General features: G+C 39.3%; 1 long non-coding RNA gene across 1 annotated transcript in view, besides 1 other annotated feature; it reads right to left on the bottom strand.

The window, feature by feature from the left end:
* LINC02380 (long intergenic non-protein coding RNA 2380) overlaps positions 1–11,008 on the bottom strand; it is a 40,115-nt gene extending 29,107 nt beyond the window's left edge. The window contains exons 1-4 of the long non-coding RNA NR_125907.1: positions 10,862–11,008; positions 9,771–9,901; positions 9,453–9,575; positions 1,996–2,138 (exon numbers count right to left, since the gene is read on the bottom strand). This is a non-coding gene — a long non-coding RNA (long intergenic non-protein coding RNA 2380). The remainder of the gene's footprint in view (positions 1–1,995; positions 2,139–9,452; positions 9,576–9,770; positions 9,902–10,861) is intronic.
* Positions 9,783–10,077: an enhancer, noted in NCBI's record as "tiled region #5602; K562 Activating DNase matched - State 12:CtcfO". NCBI's record gives its function as "activates a minimal TATA promoter and a strong SV40 promoter by Sharpr-MPRA in K562 cells {active_cell/tissue: K562}" and the evidence as "EXISTENCE:reporter gene assay evidence [ECO:0000049][PMID:27701403]".
* Positions 11,009–22,656: the final 11,648 nt, after the last annotated feature.

Raw genomic sequence — 22,656 nt, 5'->3', positions numbered from 1 at the left:
TGCCCTGTGGATCTCAGTGCCTATCATGTGCCCACACTTAATGGGGCACTGTCAACATTTGTCCAATTAGACTGTACTTATCTCTATCAGAAGACATCCCTTGCTTAAACACTCCCTTGAATATTTCCAAATAAAAGAATGTCTTGTATCTGGCTCTTTATTGGATTATGTATTGTTTCTGTGTGAAAATTTTCACTCTTATATTGAGGCTATGAACATAGACTCCAAAATAAAAAGCAAAGGAAATTCAATCAATCCAAATATTAAGTCTTATTGAGCAATAGAATAATTGCCTTGCTGAATTCAACTGCTTTTTTAAGAAAGCTATATTCAGTCATGTTGATCTGGGTGTAGAGATAGACTAATGTTCCCATTAGGTATTCCAAGGCATGTTTTTTCATCTTTAATCCATCACGTCAATTTTGGGATTATTTCTTACAGCGTATTTCTATGTTTCCTGGAAAACCAACAGGATATGAAAATGTTGAGACATTTTTACCAGAGAAAATGTAGTGCCTTTATTTTGTCTATAATCTTGTCTTTCTCTGAACTTCCACCTGCTGGTTAGAGAAAAATAAATTAACTAAATGTCTAACCTGGTTTAAATTTAGCTTGATCCAATAATTTAAACAGCCGCTTTAGGGAATACCCAGTCTCTCTTGAATAAAATTGCTCTTTCGAACAGCCTTCCTATTACCCTGCTTCTCTCACGATGATGGCAGTGAGTGTGGGGGTGCGTGGAGGGGGAAGGGGGCTTAGGTGTCCCGCAGCTGCCACATCAGACCTGTTGGTTTTTGACTAGGCATCCCCATTAAGAGGAAACCAGAGACCCTCAGTGTGCCAACTAGATTCTCTTCTCCAACCAACTGCTCTCCCTTCTTAACTATGTGGGCCTATCCCATGATGGTTAGTGTTGGCCCCTCCCAGAATCTCAAAACAAAAACCCATTATCCTCACTGGATATCTTACGTGTCTTCCTACTCCCTACCCTCAGGCAAAAACAACAGAAAAAGAAAAATACACGCTGACCACCTCACTTCTTTCTGTCTTCTGTCCTACCTCTTCTCACTCTTTTTTGGAAAAGAAAGCTCAACTGAAGTGCCAAACCAGCCCCCATCTTTAGCCCCCTCCCCAGCCGACAGTGCCTTTACTAAATGATTCTTTATCCTATCAATATATAAGCCATCTTGTGATCCTGTGAAAATTCTCTGATGAAAAATATTATTCTTTCAATTATCTAATTAAAAGCAGCTCTTCCTTTTAAATAAAACTATGCCTGCCTTGTTTTATTTGCCATTGGTTCAGGCTGATGGTAGGTAAACACCTCTGTCGTGTCTCCTGAATATGAATGCATCATGCCACAATGGAATTGCAATGCCTAGTGACAAGCTGTCAATTTTCCTAAGAGAAGCATCAGAGTTATACGGATGCTTTGTCAAAAGGCATTTAGTCAAATGCACATCTGACCTTTCCTCTTCTATCTATCACAAATTCAACCATAACCACTCCCAGTCTGAGGTTTCCCACATCGCCTGGCTTCATCTGAGCTCAATTCTTCTCTGCCTTCACCTTTACCCTCAGCACTATAGTACTTGTAGCACTAGCTTTTTTAAAAAATCCTCTTCTATAATTCTTTTTTCTCCAAAAAATGGAAATTTGCTTACACAACTTTGAGACCATCTTCAACATCAATGCAGTTTCCAAACTCAGAAGCTCATCTCATCCTTCCCTTCTTTATTCTTCTGTGTCACCTCTCAGATCAGCCAGGAAGACCTTCTTCAGGACCATCTGCTCTCCTGGAACCTGGGAGGCCCATTTAGACGCAATTTTGCAACTGCTTGTGACATTAAATTTTGCAGCTCAGAAACGGGACTCTCACCTGGCCTCAACTTTCTTAGGTCTCAGTATCAGAACCTCTGTCTACTGCAGTCTCTATTCAAATACAATTCTTGAAATGAATTCATACTTTTTTCTTTTAACTTTTAAAATTTTTACCTGGCTTGTTCAACTCTGACACATGCACAGGGACTGCTCCTTGGACTAAAAGTCAAGAAATCTGGAAACTTCTGACTCCAACACAAATGAGCCATGTGACCTTGAATGTGTCATCTCACCCTTCTGAACCTCAGGAGACTCATCTGTAAATTAAGAAGGTTTGAAGTAAGTGATGGCAGAACTCATTTCTACTCTAATACCATTTGTTTCAATAAATTTCTATCCTTTTTAAACACGACTCTTTGTATTCAGTTGAGGCAAACAATAATGAGAACTTCCCTTTCCTCTTTGTACACCTGCTGTACCATCAAATTAGGATGAATTAAAAGCAAAGCTTCTAACAATGTAGCTTTCTTTCTTTCCTTTCCAAATTTTAATTGACTCTTTAACAGGTGTGCTTTAACCTGCTCTCCACTCCAACATTTTAAAGAATAATATTTTTCATCACATTAGCCAGAGCGTGCCAGCATTATTAAAAATAAAGCAATCAAATTTAACAGAGATAAATGAACACAAGAAGCTATTTTTGTCCAGAGTGTTCAATTATATCAGGGCAGTGTGTACATCTATATATCAGCCAAGAACACACATTTTTTCTTAAATCTTTCTTTTACTTCCCACACCTATCTCCCAATTTTGACACTGGCCATTCTAGCTCTTAGAATGTGCTTCAAAATTCCTAATTTGCTCATTCATTGCATTGTTTTCTGAAACCTCTTTCAGTCTTTGCAGGGGTTTTGTTTTATTTTTGTCTCATTATTGTTGCTCGTTTTCCTTTGTCTCTATAATATGCCTACTCTGTGGTCACTTTATTCAGGTTTATTTCAGAGCCTTGTCTGAAGATTTTGAAATCAAATGAAAAAAGATCCTTTGCATTACTTGTCATTATTTTAAAAGAACTATGTCCCTCTGAACAAAATTAAATTTTTATTCTACAAGGTAGCCAAAATATGGAATAATTCTAATTTTCTTACACAGGTACTGCATATATATGTTGATTCCTTGCTTATGTGTATCTTCAGGGATGGGAGAAAGTTAGTATAAAAATGTTTTGCTACATTCACAGAAGGTCTGCACTCTGGTTGGATCAAACAATTGGTTAATTTGACAAAGTTGCCAAAAAATAGCAATCAATTCAGTGAAAAGAAAATCAATCACAGAGGTAGTTTGGTTGCTTTGTAGACAAAACAGTCAGCGGAGTGATTGAATTTTTCACTTTTCAATGAGTTGTTTTGGCCTTGTGTGGATGCAGCCATTAACTCATTAATCACCCAGAACTCCTCAGTGACTGAGAGAGGGAAATCATTACTTTCCAAGTATAGATCGCATATTAACAATATGCAAAAGGCCTGCCAGGGTGAATGTGCTCAATGACCCCATTTGAGAAAAATGAGTTTCACAGATATTTTATAGCATATGGAGGTAAACTGTACCTGATTTATCATTTCACTTTCCAATTGTGAAACTCTATGTCTGCTAGTATAAGTTTGCAGAGAATTTAATGCACATAAAATATATTCATTTAATCCTTAAATTAGAGTGAATTTTAATTCATAGAGTGCTAAAACATAATTCTTGCAACATATTGGGCTTCCCCGCATTGATTTTATGCAATATCAAAATGGAGGAGTTTTGCACACATCACAATTGGCTCCCACCCGTGCATTATACATATATGCCATTCTGATAAATATGTATATTTTCCCATATGGTGTTGAATGTTAGCGTCTAATTTACCTCTTAATTTTTAATTAATTTTAAATTACATTCTAAATGAAGCCGACAGGAGTCTAATTTGCATGCTTATTTGCATATCTGTAAACACACTGTTTGCATTGTTTATCTAGTCCCTGTCCCCATGACATACAGAGGTTTTTCTCACCCCATGTGGCGAATTGAGACCGCCAAAGCATCAAGGTGCCCTCTAAGACTTGCAGACACTATTCTAATCTAGAACCGATGATGCTGGCTCTCTTTTCTCCACAATGGCCACAGAGGATTCTGAAAGGCCAAGGTCAATGATAGCAGTTAAGCCTCCTGCTTTCTCAGAGAAATAGCAGTGACTGTGATTCACCTTTAGAAAATAAAACTGTATACTTTTTGCATGCTGTGGATTTTTTTTTAATGTACAATGCCCTAAATGACTGAAATAATAACACCAAATCAGAAAAACAAAGTCACGTTATATTATCTTCTGGATTGATAAGTTCCTAACCGAGTCAGAAGAAGGCAGCACAGAGCAAAGGCATTTTCCTCTGCAACAAGCAATGGATTATTTTCCTTGTCCAAATAGGCTGTCCTCTGGCAGCACTAATGGCAGCTGTGGCCTGTTGGTACCTTGCCTTTTGATGACAACGCACCCTACATGCAACTTCAGTCAATCAATATACAAGCCACTTCAAAGACCCTTTCGAGGCTGACAAGCAGTTCAGGATTCAAGGAGATCTGTTGTCTTTCTGTACATGAACTGCACCAGCAGACAGGGCTACAGAGGTACTTTTTCTCCCTGAAAGTACTGTAATTTCCCTCTTTGTTCATAGCTTCAATAAGCAAAGATATGGTAGCAAATGATTTTGTTTTGCTATTAGGCAAGTACTATACTGTATGTTAATAGGAGCTTGCTGATCCTGTTTGAGGCCATACCTATCCAATTTCTAATCCCAACTTTTCTGTGACCTTGGGCACCTTCCTTAATCTCACCAAAGCTTTACTATCTCTATATTATTGACTAAAATATTAGAAATGATTATCTTTTAAGGTTGTAATAAAGACTAAGCAAGATGGAAATCTCCTGGAACATTTTCCTGTATTTTTCTTTCCTCTCCAGTGGAAATAGATACCAAGTCTCAAGCCTGGCAGATGTTAAATGTGGTATCTCACGGCACATAAAGAGAACAGAGTAGACCTGGGGGAATTGTATGCTGTTGTCTTGATCTTTACTCCAATAGTACCACCTGCTTTCTTGTTGTAAAAAACTTCCATGGCTGCCCTATCAAAAGTAGACTTTCCCTTTCAGCTCTTTGTTTTCAAAATCAAGCCAGCCCTCAGTGGACCAAAAGAAATATTAAATGTGTCAAAATGATGGTCTTTACAGCTGGATTGTCATCATACAATCAATCAATCTACCACAAGAACAATAAAACTTCCCCTACAAAGAGCAGAAAAAATATTCTTCCTTCCAATATAGCCAGGAAACATTTACATCAAACATTGACTGGTGCACAATTTCTTGTACCTAGTCATTCCGTACGGTGAATGAGAACTGCACACAAGAGCCTACCTGATACCTCTCGGAGGGGATGTAACTCCAAACGCACTCACTCCACTGCACTTTCAAGGATTTGAATCAACCAGCAAGAATGAATGCAGTTATGTATAAAAATGTAAATAGGTCAAAGACATCACAGCAAAGATAAAAGAAAGGTACGTGAGACCGAATGGAAAATCAGCTCACTGAAACGTATGCCAAGAGATTGCACACAGTTATAAAAATAGGAATCTTAATGTGGTTCTGAGTTTCTATGCATCCAAGAAAGTATTATTTAATCTATTATAGGAGACACATTCTCTGTAAAATAAAATAATACCTGTTTTCCGAGAAAGCAATGCTTCCAGGCACTAAACTCTTCGAGTCATGACTCCTGCTGACACCCGTAAAGGGAAATCTATGAGTTTGAAACATGTACCTACAAACTTACCCCATAACTCTGTGCTTTTTAAATAGATAAAAGGCTCAAAATTAATCTTTCAGTCCTCTCTGCTCCTACATTTTTTGCTCTCCATAATGGCAGCTTTACAGACTGACCGATTTCAGGCAAAGGATCACATCTTGGTGTGCTCTAGGGTTGCTGTGTACAGCTGTGCAGGCTATGCACTGCATTTAACTAGACTATGGTCAGTGGGGCCCCTCTGGGGCTTAGCAAGGCAGCTTGCAGCACGCCACATACTGTCTTCCTTGTAGAAAGCATTCAGTCAATATTTGCTTTATTACCTAAACATACCCATGCAGCAAACACAGGGGTTATGCATGCATGTCCCTGCCTGGATATGAATTCTAGCTCTGCCACTAGCCAACTGTGTGACCTTGGAAAAGTTATGTAACCTTTTGGCACCTGTATTCCTCATCTATAAAACAAAGATAGTAAAGGTGCACACCTAATAGGATTAAGTACTTTATGTATGTAAAGAACTCAGAACAGTCCCTGGTACAAACATTCTGCATTAGTATTATTCTGGTTTATTCCAGTGTAGAAAATATCCAGGTGGATTTCTATTTTAATGTTCTTAATAGACTATTCAAATAATTACGCTCTTCCTTAAAAGTACCTTTTAGATAGGAATGCTGCTATGGTACAATGCATTAAGGAAGTCTACAGTTCCATGAGAATACAATAAGGAAGGGGAAGGAGATTAACCCTTTTGATCACCTACTGCATGCCAGGCACCGATCAAACACTTCATACATGCGGTCTTATTCAGTCCTCACAACTATCTGATAAGGTAGAAGTATTATTTGTGCCCTAAAACAAGCTTAACCAGCCTGTGAGTGCAAATTGCATCACATCCTCAGTAATCATCCCACCATCATCAGTTAATACAGAACCCACCCCGACAAAATCTCTCCATCTTTGCCTCTGGGTCTCCAAGGCTATCTCCATGCCTCTTGGAGGGGATGTAACTCCAAACTCACTCACTCCACTCCACTTCCAAGGATTTGAATCAACCAGCAAGAATGAATGCAGTTATATATAAAAATGTAAATAAATCAAAGAAATCACAGCAAAGATAAAAGAAAGATATGTGAGACCAAATGGAAAATCAGCTCACTGAAACATATGCCAAGAGATTGCACATGCACAAAGCCCGTTGGTCAGAGGCCTCTTGCATCTGCCAGATATCACTGTCCCTTCTGCTAGGCATGGATCATGAAGAGACAGCTGCCAGGTCTGCTGGCAGCTTCTGTATCTGCCCAGTACTGCCACCTTTGCTGGGCACTAGACTTTCATTGTGTGCCGCCACATAGGCTGGGCATCATCACTGTCGGTAGCCTCCCTTGCATTTCCTCCTGGCCTCTAGTTGCTCTTCAGCTAGTGTGCTGCTCCCCCTGCATTTTTGCATTACTGAAGTACTGGTTGAGATTGTAGAAGGAAAGTGACTCTCTCCACTTGGGGCAATTGTACCTTTTCAACAGGTCATCAAAACAGGAATGCTTGTGCCTTGGTGTCTCTCATTTCTTAAGAAAACATCAGGGCAGGCACGGTGGCTCACTCCTGTAATCCCAGCACTTTAGGGGGCTGAGGGGGGTGAATCACGAGGTCAGGAGTTTTAGACCAACCTGGCCAACATGGTGAAACCCCGTCTCTACTAAAAAAATATAAAAATTAGCCCGGTGTGGTGGCATGTGCCTGTAGTCCCAGCTACTCGGGAGGCTGAGGCAAGAGAATAGCTTGAACCCAGGCAGCAGAGGTTGCAGTGAGCCAAGGTCATGGCACTGCACTCCAGTCTGGGCAACAGAGCGAGGCTCTGTCAAAAAAAAAAAAAAAGAGAGGGAGAGAGATAAGAAAGAAAGAAAGAAAGAAAGAAAGAAAGAAAGAAAGAAAGAAAGAAAGAAAGAAAGAAAGAAGGAAAGAAGGAAAGAAGGAAGGAAGGAAGGAAGGAAGGAAGGAAGGAAGGAAGGAAAGAAAGAAAGAAAGAAAGAAAGAAAGAAAGAAAGAAAGAAAGAAAGAAAGAAAGAAAGAAAGAAAAGGAAAGAACACCAATTTGGCCAAGGGTGGTGGCTCATGCCTATAATCCCAGCACTTTGGGAGGCCGAGGCAGGTGGATCACCTGAGGTCAGGAGTTCGAGACCAGCCTGGCCAACATGGTGAAACCATGTCTCTACTAAAAAATACCAAAAAAAAATCAGCCCGGCATGGTGGTGGGCGCCTGCAATTCCAGCAACCCAGGAGGCTGAGGCAGGAGAATCGCTTGAACCTGGGAGGCAGAGGTTGCAGTGAACCGAGGTTGTGCCATTGGACTCCAGCCTGGGCAATAAGAGCAAAACTCAGTCTCGAAAAAATAAACAAACGAACAAATAAACAAATAAATAAATAAATAAATTTGGATTTGTTTTACATTCAGTCTTCTCTATTTCCAGAATGCAGATGAAATGAGGGTGACATCAGGGATCTATCTGAAGCTTTACACTGCATGAAACTTCCTCTGGACCCTAGGGGCTTGCCACTAGACCAGCCTACAAGCTATTGTACAGTTTGAAAGATTTTTTTAGAGCAACATAGTTGCTTTATTAATTTTTTAAAAAGAGCTTTTTTTCTGATATGTCTGTGTCTAGAGTCAGGATAGAAAATATGCAGATATATTCTACATTTATCTAATGTCACTATATTCCATGCTATAAACATTAATAACGTCTTCAGAGTCAGGGGAAAATGTAAGGAGAGTGTGATAAAGACAGAGCCTAGAATAAAAGAAAAAGTATCGACTCTGAGACCAAAGAGATGTGGGTTTTATCCCAGCTCCATGTACCTTCTGATCAATTACTTCACCTTAACTTTCTTATTTATAAAACTGAACTGATAATAGCACACTTGGAAATCCAAGAAATAGAGTTATTGTGCATGAAATGCCTGGTGTATAGTATGTGCTCAATAAATGATCATTGTTCTTTGTTTTTCATTATCGTCACTTTGTAATTTTCTTTGGATATGGACTTTAGGGGCTCTAAGTCATGAAAAGTGGCAGGCAGCTGAAAGAACAGTGTGGTTCCATAATTATTTATTGAGTGTCTCCTATATTTAACTTTGCATTAGCTCAAAGGGATACTTTGGAGAACAAGAGCAACAAAGTTCCCACTCTTAGAGCCTACACTCTAGGTGAGAAGTTATAAAATAAATAAGCAAGTAATAGTGTTACAAATGCCATTAGTACTCTGAAATGAGTGTATAAAAGATGTTAGGAATAAAGAATGTGCAATCTATGAAGAGTTTTAGGGAGAAGAGTGAAATGACATAATTTATATTTCTAACAGACCACAGTGACAGTTTGTGGAAAATGGAAGGTTGCAAGTGTGAAAGTGAGCAAGTGAAAGTCATTCTCTGCTGCAGGAGAGTGACATAAGCTGGCCTTGCTTGACTTCAAAATAGTTTTCAGTGTGATCAATTCACCATTTCCATGTGGAGGAGGTCTGTTGTTCAGACTCTTTGGGGGCTAAAAAAGGTTCTTTATGATGAGAGCTGGTAAGTCAATGAAACAGAGCCCAACTCCAAGTTGGATCATGGGGTGATGCAGCAGAAGACTCCAAAAGTCACAGATGAAAGAAGTTTGCGCCAAATTTAGAATAAAGAGATTTAGAAGGCTGCTGGTCGGTTTGAGGCACAGATTTCAGATGGCACAGGAGGAGATAGCAAGCAGTGTTGGACAGGTCTTCATGTAAGGAAGGAGCCAGGACCCGCTCTTACCAGAAACCCGAGCTCTGCCATTTGATTTCTATTAATGCCATGTAAGTCTCTCCATCCCCGAGGTAATTTGACACAGTCTGGGAAGGCTCCTGCTCTCTAGGAGCTGGGCTTTTGCAAGAGATGCTGCAGACAGAAAAACTATGTTAGACCTGTGCACATGTTGATATCTGTGTGTGTATATACATACATACATATATATGACCATTTTAATTTATTTAATTTATGAATCATTTTTCTATAATACAAATTTCTTGCAAAATATAATGCTATAGCCTACGAGTTCTTACAAAGTCACAAACAAGAACTAGCGACATGTACTTGACATAACGTGAAGTCCTGTGCTCTGTGCTCTCTGCGGGGAGAGATGAGGTGATTCTTCAGAAGCTGATCAAAATTCCCTGCCTCCCTCAGGGTAGCTGAGCCTCGGAACAGCGGGAGCACTGCGCCATCTGGTGGGCAGATGCACTGCATCAACGTTCATTAGCAGAGGCTTTTACACACACACACACACACACACACACACACACACAAATGCTTTTCAAGGAAGACTCGAGAACAAATCCCGAAGCTGAGTGACAACTACAAAATACCATCAATTAAAGATATTATCTGGTAAGTTTCACAACAGATTATAAATGAACAGGATTGAAATGTGGTACCACTGTAAATCTTTAATTTTTCAGTTGTATATATAATATCTGATAGTTAATGGGTGTGTACCCTGTGCCAGGTAGGTGCTAGTCTATGTACTTTACATGCATTAACATATGTCATCCTCACAACAATCCTATAAGATAGGCACTATTTCCATCCCGTTTTACAGGTGAGGAAACTGAAACAGAGAGGTTCAGTAACTTGCCCAAAGTTACACAAGTTGGTACGTGGCAAAGCAAGAATTTAACAATGTTCTTAAGCTCTTAGGCACTAGGCTAGGCTGCTTCTCTGATATATACAATGTAGCACCGTGAGATTGGGTGTCATTAAGCAAGAGGTCAGAAAACAGGATTTTGAAAAGCATGTTCTGAAAGTGTAAGATTCCTTTTTCAAATTGCTTCCCCAAGCAAAAGAATGCAAAACTCTGAGCTTCCTATAAGTCAGAACCTTTACAAAAAGCAAGTTTTTGAAGACTGCTTTACAAAAAAAAGCACCCTTATTAGAATCACCGAATTTGGAAGTAAAGGGCAAGATCCCTTGATGATCATAATTGTGGTAGTTAATTTTATGTGTTGACTTACTGGGCCACAAAATTCTCAGATACTTGGTCAAACATAATTCTAAGTGTGTCTATAAGGGTGTTTCTCGATGAAATTAGTATTTGAATTGAGAGACTGAGTGAAGCAGATTGCATTCCTAAATGTGGCAGACCTCATCCAATAGGTCAAAAGACTGAGTAGAACACAACGACTCACCCTTCCTTGAGTGAGAACAAGAGGGAACTCCCTCTGCCTGACTGCTTTGAGATGGGACATCAGTCTTTTCCTGCCTTCAGACTCAAACTGAAATATTGGCTCTTCTTGGGTCTCCAGCTTGCCAACTGCATATCTTAGGACATTCTATTGGCTGTTTCTCTAGAAAACCCTTACTAATGTGATGGCTCATTATGTCATCATCACATTGTCATCATCATTGTGGTCACCCTCAACATCACCATCATCATCTTCTCTACCACACACTGAGTGTCCTCCCTTTCAGGCACAGTGTTCAGTGCTCTGAGACTGTGTGAGTAAAAGTGCTTATTTTACAGATGAGTAAACGGAGGTTCAGTGAACTTGGAACATGTACCCAACACCTCACCAACAGTCAATGGTACAGGTAAGACCATGGTTATCAACAGCCCAGTGCATTTTTCTCTATGCCAAGTGACATCTCCCACTAGATGGAACAGTCATCAACAACTAACATTTGGAAGGATGATGGCATGTTTTCCATCTTCAGATATCTTATTAACTCTAATTTTCTTGAAAAGTGCTTTCTCATTCCTTTGAAAGCCATTATTTTCCTTCTTTTCCAGGGTGACATGTTGTCATTTTAGCTTGGTTACTTTTGAGGCAGTTTAATCTGATTTTGCTAGGAACCAGTTATTCTTCTTACATCTGTTTGACCATTCATCAACTAACAGGCATTTTCCACAACTGCAGATACAAAAGAGACAAGAAAAAGTGCAGCTCACCTTAAATACCCTGATTCATCTGAGCTGGGCATGATTCAGCTACTCAAGATATTGAATTTGGGAAATATGTGTGTCTTCAGACTTTTTCCTCTCTCTGTATGGGAGAGGGCTGGCAAGTCGGGCACCAGAGGGATCAACTCATGCACAAGGCTGCTGCAGCCTGCATAAAAGTGTGCAAGTAGACCTGGTTGCAAAGGACAAGAGGGTGTGGGGCATCAACCCCTCCCATGACAACTTCCAAAGGAAAAATAGACTATAATTATCAGAAACCCAATTGCCCTATTAAAATACATGAAATAACTACAAAAATTGTGAAATTGAAGTCATGGGGTTTTTTTAATAACAGTAAAAAATATTTGTATCCAGAAAGAAAATTTAAACCTAGCAAGATATATCTAAGTAAACTGTGCCCTTCCCACCCCTAAGCCCCAACATGTTAATCAGATGTGCAGTCCCAGAGGCAGGACCTCTTGGCCCATGGTGAGTTCACCTTGGACAGACTCCTTTGAAGAGATAAGCTATCTAGGATAAGAAGAGAACTTGCTGGAAATAGCCAGATAAATAACAGTAGATTGTAGCCTATCTGCCAGGAAGCACACTTTTTCCCCAGCCATTTGCAGGAAGAGAAGTAGGTTGCTATGCCATTACAAGTCATTTTCTCTCCCGGGTTACGCCAGCCCATGCTCCTTTTTCATTCCAATTGCTGCATTTCTAGAGGATCATACTGCCATTTTTCTCTTCTCTGTCTAATGCCAATCGCACTTCTGGGCTGTTGCCCCCACTGCTGATGGTGTTAATCTCCATGGGAACCAATGTGACTCACAGGGTCAATGTGTGCTTGGCAAGTCCTGTTATGATCATTGCCAGCGTGTTACCAGCAATGGCAGCATAATCCTCAGTGATCACATTTTTGTTTTGTGAATTTTGCCGGTGAGTCATGCAGCTTAAAGGCAATAGCCTCAAAGGAAATCTTAGCTTAGCACTTTGGTGTAAATCCTATCACAGCCACCTTCTATGCAAGCCGCATTCCAGCATCCCCCTTTTCAGAAGTCATGGAGTCCACTATTTGCTCAGGAATTATGTTTTCTTGGACTTTTTCTGTATCTATTATCCTGGTTTGGCATCAGGCATTCTGTCTATAGACAATAGGAACTATTTAATGGGAATAGCAATGCCCATGGAAATAATGACTCTCCTTTTCAATAAGGTATTCTCATTTTTCTGTTGTTGTTGTGATGGTAGTGGTGGTGGTTTTCGTTATAACATGAAATCTACCCTGTGGCCTCTTATAGGATGAATCCAATGAAAGGAAGCTATTTGGTCAACTGAAAGTTGTCTTACAAAGTTTGAGTTTCTAAAGATAAGCTAGAGATCACCGAATCCAACTCCCACCTGGTGCAGATTCTAATAAATGCATCCAGCATCTTTTTGATTAGTGGAAAGCAAAGATAGTCTCCCACTTATTTCCAAGAGATGTGCCCTCTAATGCTGGATTACTTAAATTATTAGAGAATCCTTTCTTACAATGAGTAAAAATCTGCCCACCTGTAGATTTGATCCATCTATTAGCGTTCTGCTCTCTAAGGAATAAAAAAAAACTTTCTTTCCTGTATTCCCATTTTATCTCTACTGGGGTCGTCTAGTACCCAGTCCTTCCTGCCTCATCACATGAGACTCATCACTTGTTTTTCATGTGTCTGTCTCCTTCACCAAATGGAGCTTCTGGAAGACAAAACACATGTCCCATTCTTTGAATCATGAGTGCTTATGTTTAGTGACACACCTTCAAATACTCCGTGCTGCTTTGTCTTTCTCCCTTGGTCATTGTATTAGTCTGTTCTCACACTGCTATGAAGAAATGGCCAAGACTGGATAATTTGTAAAGGAAAGGGAAGAAGCGGGCACCTTCTTCACAGGGAAGCAGGACAGAGTGAGTACAAGCAGGGTAAATGCCAGATGCTTATAAAACCAACAGATCTTATGAGACTCACTGTCATGAGAACAGCATGGGGAAAACTGCCTTCATGATTTGATTACCTTCGTCTAGTCCAGCCCTTGACCCAAGGAGATTATGGGGATTACAACTCAAGATGAGATTTTGGATGGGGACACAGAGCCAAACCATGTCATTCCACCCCAGCCCCTCTCAAATCTCATGTCCTCACATTTCAAAACACAGTCATGCCTTTCCAATAGTCCCCCAAAGTTTTAACTCATTCCAGCATTAACCCAAAAGTCCAAGTCCAAAATCTCTGAGACAAAGCATGTCCCTTCTGTCTATGAGCCTGTAAAATCAAAAGCAAGTTAGTTACTTCCTAGATACAAGGAAGATACTGGCATTGGGTAAATACACCCATTCCAAATGGGAGAAAATGGCCAAAACTAAGGGGCTACAGGCCCCATTCAAGTCCAAAATCCAATAAGGCAGTCATTAAACCTTAAAGTTCCAGAATGATCTCTTTTGAATCCATGTCTCACATCCAGGTCACACTGATGCAAGCAAGAGGTGAGCTCCCATGGCCTTGGGCAGCTCCTCACCTGTGGCTTTGCAGGGTACAGCCCCTCTCCTGGCTGCTTTTACAGGCTGGCGTTGAATGTCTGTGGCTTTTGCAGGCACATGCTGCGAGCTGTCAGTGGATCTACCATTCTGAAGTCTGGAGGACAGTGGCCCTCTTCTCACACCTCCACTAAGCAGTCCCCCAGTGGAGACTCTGTGTGGGGGCTCCTACATTTCCCTCCTGCACTGCTCTAGCAGAGGTTCTCCATGACAGCTCAGCCCCTGCAGCAAACTTCTGCCTGGACATCCAGGCATTTCCATACATCCTCTGAAATCTAGGCAGAGTTTCCCAAACCTCAGTTGTTGACTTCTGTGCACCCACAGGCTCAACACAATATAGAAGCTGCCAAGGCTTGGGACTTGCACCCTCTGAAGCAATGGCTTGAGCTGTATCTTGGCCCCTTTTAGCCACAGCTAGAGCTGAAGCAGCTGGGATGCAGGGCATCATGTCCCAAGGCTGCACAGAGCAGAGGGGCCCTGGGCCCAGAAAACCATTTTTTCCTCCTAGGCCTCTGGGCCTGAGACAGGAGGGGCTGCCCCAAGGTCTCTGACATGCCCTGGAGACATTTTCCCCATTGTCTTGGTGATTAACACTCGGTTCCTCGTTACTTTTACAAATTTCTGGAGCAGGCTTGAATTTCTCCCCAGAAAATAGGATTTTCTTTTCTACTGCATTATCAGGCTGCAAATTTTCCAAACTTTTATGCTCTGCTTCCTTTTGAATGCTTTGCTGCTTAGAAATTTCTTCCACCAGATACCCTAAATCATCTCTCTCAAGTTCAAATTTCCACAAATCTCTAGGGCAGGGACAAATTGCTACCAGTCTCTTTGCTAAAGCAAAGCAAGAGTGATCAACAAGTTCCTCATCTCCATCTGAGACCAGCCTGGACTTCATTGTCCATATTACTATTAGCATTTTGGTCAAAGCCATTCAACAAGTCTCTAGGAAGTTCCAAACTTTCCCACATTTTTTTGAGCCTCCCAAACTGTTGCAGTCCCTGTGTGTTACCCAGTTGCAAAGTTGTTTCCACATTTTCAGATATCTTTATGCTGCACCTCATTACCTTGGTACCAATTTACTGTATTAGTTTGTTCTCACACTGCTGTGAAGAAATACCTAAGACTGGGTAATTTATAAAAGAAAAAGATTTCATTGACTCACAGTTCTGCATTGCTGGGGAGGCCTCAGGAAACTTATAATAATGGTAGAAGGCAAAGGAGAAGCAGGCACCTTCTTCACAGGGTGGCAGGATGGACTGAGTGCAAGCAGGAGAAATGCCAGACACTTATAAAACCATCAGATCTCGTGAGATTCACTCACTATCATGAGAACAGCATAAGGGAGACCCCCCATCATGATTCAATTACCTCTACCTGGTCCCACCCTTGACACATGGGGATTATGGGGATTACAACTCAAGATGAAATTTTGGGTGCAGACACAGCCAAATCATATCAGTCATGCTAGTTCAGGCTAAGAATTTCTAATTCCTTCAACTATTTGTCAAATCACCAAGCAGATACTGGCCTCTTTTCACCTCCTTCTCCAACAAGAGTACAAACAAGGTGGAAGAAAATGTCTCTGTGACAAAAACTATACTTTCAAATATCACACTATGTGGTGAGGGTAATGAAGTAGTTCAGAAAGTCTATATAGGATGCTCTAGGTCCTTTAAACAGTCTTGAAATTCTACACTAAATGAGATTTTTACAACTGGAAGAGACTGTAGACCCCACCTCACCCCAATCAGTACTAAGGGGAATATGGGGACCTAAGAATCAGAGTGAATTGCCCAAGGTCACAGAGCCAGTTACTGGACGAGCTAAAACTAGAAACAGTCACTTCTTTTTCTCTCTCTCGTGTTCTTTACAACACACCACACTAACTCAAAGCGAATATTATGCCCAGGCACTTATATGCTCCTGAATAGTTAACTGGTGATTTCAAACTTGGAAAGCGTGTTCTTATATCTTCAGACCTAAATTTTAGCACTCTCTCTCCCACTAATAGCATTTATATGGTACTAAATATTCCAACAGGGTTTTAAGGCTTACAACTACTGTCCCTGGCAATCTTGGTTTTGATCTCAGAAGAAAGAGATGCTAATATAAAATCTTCAGAGTTTTAAAAGACTGAAGGAGTCTTTCTTATTCATGTTTATCTTCCACAGCACTTAGCACAGTGCCTGGCATATGATAGTCATTTAAAAAATGTTTGCTGACAGATTAATAGTTTTGTAATTATTCATTGATGAATTATCCATGACAAAATTTCAAATCAGGCTAAATTTCCCTATCTCTTGGCCTATTTCCAATGTCAAGGCCACATCCTCAATAATCAATCAATTGATTATTGTTCAAAGAACTTAAACAAATACTAATGTTTATCCAAGCAACATATACTTTGAAACTCAAATATGCTAAAAATACACATACAAGATAATTCCAACTTGCAAATAGATGACATTCTGACAGAACATATGCAGACTAAGAGCTAGAACTTGAAAGATACATTCTGGAGGAGAAAAAGTAACAAGAGGAGGAAGAGGAGGAGTAAAAAGAAAGAGAAAAGTGGCTGGTGTAAAATTCCCTTTGTGCTGGTGAAGCACATTGTAAAGAACATGACAGAGTAAAAGAAGAACCTGCTTCCATCTCTGCTTCTCTCTATAACAGCCTCTATGACCTTGCGATAAATAGATTCCCAGGCGTGGGAAATAAGATCTATTTAAGATATTGTTTATTTAGGAAACATGAGTCCCCCTTCACCAGGAACACAAATTCCAGCTTCTAAAGTTATAAAGCCACTGTCAGGTTAGAAAGAAATTTATTCCACACTCACTGTAATTGAAAGAAAACTTATTATCCCTAAAGAGAGCACTTGTTAGCCTTTCTACACAATCTTTTTTAGCAATGCGCAATAAAAAAAACTTTCTTTTTCAATACAATCGAAAAAAGTAAGTATAAAATTTGGTTCAAGTAAAAAACTATTAAAAATACATATCTTAAATATTTTATTTAAATGTCAAATATGTAAGTATACATTCATTCATATATCCACCTCTGATATATAATGGAGCAGCCACTAACTAAATTTCCTCAAAGTTTATTTTGTATAAACCACTCCCAAAATGCCTCCTTTACAATTGGCGGTTTCAATTTTTTTAATATGCAAAACATTAGGGCACTTTAAACGCAATCTGACTGCAAAAACTTTCTTAATTTTTACAATTTTTAAATCAAACTCCAATCTTTGCAAAATATTTTATTATTTTGCAAAGAAATAACTCTTCTGCCATACTCATACTTTACTCATTAAATATATATTATAATAATATTGCAAAATTACAAGTACAATTGACAAAAACAGATTTGGGAACAAACACAATTGATTCTTGGTAAGCACACAGCTCAACTCCTGAAAGTAGTATTTGGGCCACAGAGTAATCTACCAGCACGAAGTGTTCAGTCAAGCGTGGGTATCCATCAGTATCCTGTACAGAGGGCATTAAGAGTATCAGTTCATCTGGTAAACCAGTTTAAATTGTTCCCACTTTATTTGCAACAACAGAGCCATCATGAGTTTCGTGGGACAGTGTTACTGCCCACTCCCCAAACCTCCATTGACTATACTTTGATAAAAACCTCCTGTATTAGTTTCCAAGAATTTTCATAACAATTTAACACAAACTAGGTGTTTAAAACAGCAAATTCTTTTTTCTCCCACAGTTCTGGAGGTCAGAAGTCCAAAATCAAGGTGTCATTAGGGCTGTGTTCCCGCCGAAGGCTTTAGGAAAGAATCTTCCCCTGCCTCCTTTAACTTCTGGGTTCCCAACCATTATATCTGCAAATACCCTGTTTCCAAATAAGCTCATATTCTTAGGTTCATGGTAGACATGAATTTTTGACAGACACTATTCAACTGATCTACCACACTTTGACAAACCCTCACCTCTACATGCTTAAATAGCCTCAAACATGCTATTTCCTATTCTAGAAAACCCCCTACCCCATTCTTTAACATGGTAAATTCTCATATGCTTCCTTGTTCATATGCTTTTGGCTGTTCTCCCAGAAGAAGGTCCTTGCCTCCTTAATATAATTCATTTTCCTATTCTGACCTTGTCTGCTTTTCTTATCTATTTTCACCGTCACACCCACTTTTTCAACTATTTATTGAGCACCTGCTAAATGCCCACACTGTGCTAGGGGCTGAAGATATATTTCATAGTAATGACTAAGACCAAGTTTCCTACCTTTTGAAGGGTAGAAAGCTTCAAGTCTTTAAAAGGAAGGAGCATAAATTTGTTTTTGATTCCTCAAAGCCTGTCGTGCTACTAGTCATACAGTAAGCACTCAATACACATTTGTTGAGTAAACAATTTCAGAGGACAAAGCAAATAATGGGTAGACTGGGACAGCTGGAGGTCTGAGGATATAGATTTTTGCCTGGAATGAAAACTTTCATGTAATTCAAGCTATGACCAGGAAATGCACTGCCTCTGTTTTACTAAAAATGCTCAAACAGAAATCTGTCAATGGAAGATCAGCCTACATGGTTTCCAAGGCTCCTTTAAACTCTATTTCTTTTCATTCCCTGATAGATTAAATGATGGAGAGACGACATTTCTCAATTTTGCCTTTTTTCCTATGCAAATTCAAAAAATTGTATTTAGTACTAACAATGTACTAGACATGATGCTAAACATTTAATTCCTATTAAGTGTTAACTAAATTCTCACCACACATCACACAAAGCAGGTAAAATAGTAAAAGAAACCACTGGCTGTTCACCAAAGAATACATCTTCTCTTTTTCCTGAAACACAACTAGATTACATTTCTCAATGTTCCTTGCGTTTAGGGGTGACCATGTGACTGAATTCTAGACAATTGAGTACAAACAGAAGTGATATGGGCTACTTCCAGGCCTGGCCCATTAAAATCTCCCAGATGTACTCCTTCACTCTCTTTTCCCTTTCTAGATGCTAGCACAGAGATAACTTACAACACATACATTCTCCGTGTGGGTAATATGGCTCCCAATAAGTGAACATTGTTGCTTGGGGGAGCAAAAAAATCTTTGATATTGCAATGGTTTGTGGCCTTCCAAAGGTCGTATCTACCTGGTAAAATCTTATTTCTTAGCATTTAATTTCTCTCATTAGGGAGAAGTTAAATGAAATTTAATTAATTAATTTAAATTAATTGGGTTTAATTAATTTAATTTTTCTCCTTAGTGGAGAAATAATGAGAAAATATTTGAGAACTACTGCTCTAAAGCAACCCTGAAAGCTACATATTAAAGGTAGTAAAACCTCTTTCAGCCTGAGTCTCTGAATGACTAACTGGAGAAGAAACATTTTGGTCACTACCAAGTACTATTAATGAAAAATCTCATTTCCATTGTGTCTGAACCTTTACATACTTATGAGTCTGATATAGCAGTTAGCACGTCCTATGTATTATAACTATTCTCTTATCCATTTTACACACGGGGAAAACTGAGCTCAGAGAGCATAATCCTAAGATCAAGCCTGCTGGTAAATAGTAGAGCAGAGATTTAAAACTTGTCTGATTCAAAAACCTGAGCTATGGATCCTTATGTTCCATTGCTTCTCCAGCTGTCAGAAGCTACATGTTTCCACTGTATGAGACCATTTCCAGTCTGAATTACTGGAGGATGCTGAATGTGATCTCTAGTTTGGGGATTAAAGTTATACTATTTTTAGTTATACTATTTTTTATGTGTTCAAAGTTGAGAAATCCTTCCAGGAATCATAACTTTAATTCACACTTACAAAGTTGTGCTGCTGCAAATCTCTTGTAATCAAATATGCACAGTAATAAGCAGTGAAATGGAATATGTGGAAATAAATTATTTTTTGTTTTTTGATAGACACAAAAACGAGATGCATCAGGTCTGGGTGAAACCTATAAAAAACTCAAGTAAGTCAAAGGCCCACGGAATTTGGTTTCGTATGCACTCAAAAACATCCAAGTTTCCCCAGCAGAGAACGCAAAGTCAGGCTGAAGATTTCATGAGATCTAAGGAATTATGTCATTGCTCTTCAAAGCATCTTACTACGTATGATCATATTACAGACAATGATGGGCTTTGTCCTAAAGTTGCAAATCTACAGTTTTCCCATAGAAATTGCATAGGATGTACTTATGTGGAAACTATTTAACTTGCATTGTCCCCAGAAAAGTATTATCAAAACACATAGATGTCTGAAAGAGCTTTTCATTGTTCTCCATGTAGGTGTATGCATGCTTAACGCAGTGTAAGTCTCAGAGCTGCTGAATAAAAAGAAGACAGTAACTTTTTAAAATGTTGACTAACAAAGTCAACTGTGTTGATAGATGGGAAGAGCATTGCTCAAGTCTTTAATTCTCTATACACGTTTTACTGTGTGCCTTTTTCTGGTGATCTTTGGATACACAATTGAACGATGCTCCTCAGAGAATTTCCCTCTTTTTTGCTTCACTTTATTCCATTGCTACTTAAATAAGGTAATGTACTGCTCTGAGACTCAAATGCATCACATTCCAACCTGAAATACGGGAGATGTGAACAAAAAAATGGAACTATTGAAAGCTAGATAGAGATTATAGGATGTTTTAGGTAAAGGTTGAAGGAGGAATTATTTGTTTTTTATTCTTATGTATTTAAAAGAGTGCTACAGCTTTGGAACATATTTCCAGATGCAAAATTAATATTATAGAGAATCACCAGGTTCACAGCTTTTGAATCAAATGCCATCTCTTCTGTATGCTGTGAGTAGCCCTACCTTTTAACATTTAAGAGATAAAGCTCTATGTTAAATTTTCCAATTATTACCTGTCTGGTACAGTTGCAACAGGACCATATCAAGTATTTGAGTTTTACTAGGGAAATGTAATTACAGTTTGAAAAATAGTGGAAAATGCATTCCTATCACATCCTTAGTGGCAGTTTATATGCTAAAAAGAAAAATGCTTAGGGTCTAATTCATAAGAGCTTCATGCTTCATTTACATTTTTCTGTGCAGTTTACTTGGAAAAGAGCATAATGCATGTTTTTCAAGTAAAATATGCCTTTTAGGGATTCATTCAACTTGCTTTCCATTGTCCTCATTGAGGGCCAAGCGTTCTTTTCTACAATCCTAAAGGGCACTAGTAAATGGGGTGGGTGGAAAGCCCTCACTGTTAACTAAAAGGAATGCCTAAAACCATTGTACGGATTATTTAGAAAATTTACAGCAGTCTCTAGCAGTCAAATCTTGAAAAGTCTGTTGTACGTTTACTATGCAGACTGTTTTCCAAGCCCTTTGTATAGGATATTGAACAAATTACCTGACAATATGAATATTTTTGAGGTCTGCTCAGAATTTACAAGATTCTGACCATTTCCCAACCCATCCATGTTCTTTTCTTTAGTTCAGTGTTTCTCAAAACATGGTCTGTGGGCTAGCAAACATCAGAGTCAACTGAAATTCCTGTTAAAAACATGATTTCCTAAGTTCCACAACACTGATCCAAAACTGTTGAGAGTAGAGACCTGGAATTTGAATTTTACAAGCTACAATGATGAGCACCAAATTTAAAACCCCATCCCTGTGTTTTGGACTAAGGCAATCAAGAGGGAGTTCACTCCTAAGTAGAGCAAACACACTCTCTTTTAGTAACCAGTGATTTTTTTTTTAAACCAAGTTTACTAGCCCATGTAAGATCAACCTGGAGGAGGCCAAAATCACATTTGCAAGAGATGGCAATTTTGTCTCAAGCACAAAGTTATAACCCTCAACGATATGATCTACAACATTCGGCCTTTCTGTCTTCTTCCTAATCCCTGTAACTGCTTTCTACAGTTCCTGAAAGAAAACAATGTAACTAAAAAGCAATTCTCACAGTGTTCACTGATGCACTGGAAAATGAATGTTGCAGACAATCAGCTCATTATTTATTCTGCACACTATCAAAACTGCCAGGCCAATTTTCTTCTCCCCCTGAATTCACTGAACATATTCAGTGGCTTTGGCATCCTATTGAGATCACTATAGCCCTATATCAGGGAAAATTTGAGGCCAAACATAATTGTTCTAAAAATGCATCACCTCGGCCATTACAGAGTAACACTTGTAATACTTTTAGTGGATGAAGGCCATAGGCCTTGACTGGTTTGGCTAAGTTTACTCTGGGTTAAAGCCAAAACTTAATATGTCTTTGTTGATCGATAAAAGAAAAAAATTCATGTAGTAGAAATCCCTACGTCACCCACATCTGGTTTTCCTCTCCTTCCTGGCACATATGAAGATTACAGTTTCATGTCCAGGTGGGCAGAAGTGAGTGATATGTGTCACTCCCAGGGCAAAGCATTTAACTGCTGGAATGAACACCCTAACACAGTCCGTCCTTGAGCAATGACCAAGGAGCTGCAGGTTCCCAGTGGAGCAATTACAGAGCATTCATTATCCCCAAAACGTCACTTGGACTTAC

The sequence above is a fragment of the Homo sapiens genome, chromosome 4, assembly GCF_000001405.40.
Source record: "Homo sapiens chromosome 4, GRCh38.p14 Primary Assembly".
NCBI classification, from domain to species: domain Eukaryota; kingdom Metazoa; phylum Chordata; class Mammalia; order Primates; family Hominidae; genus Homo; species Homo sapiens.
The sequence above is the reverse complement of the archived record's forward strand: the minus strand, read 5'-3'. Positions and strand labels throughout refer to the sequence as shown.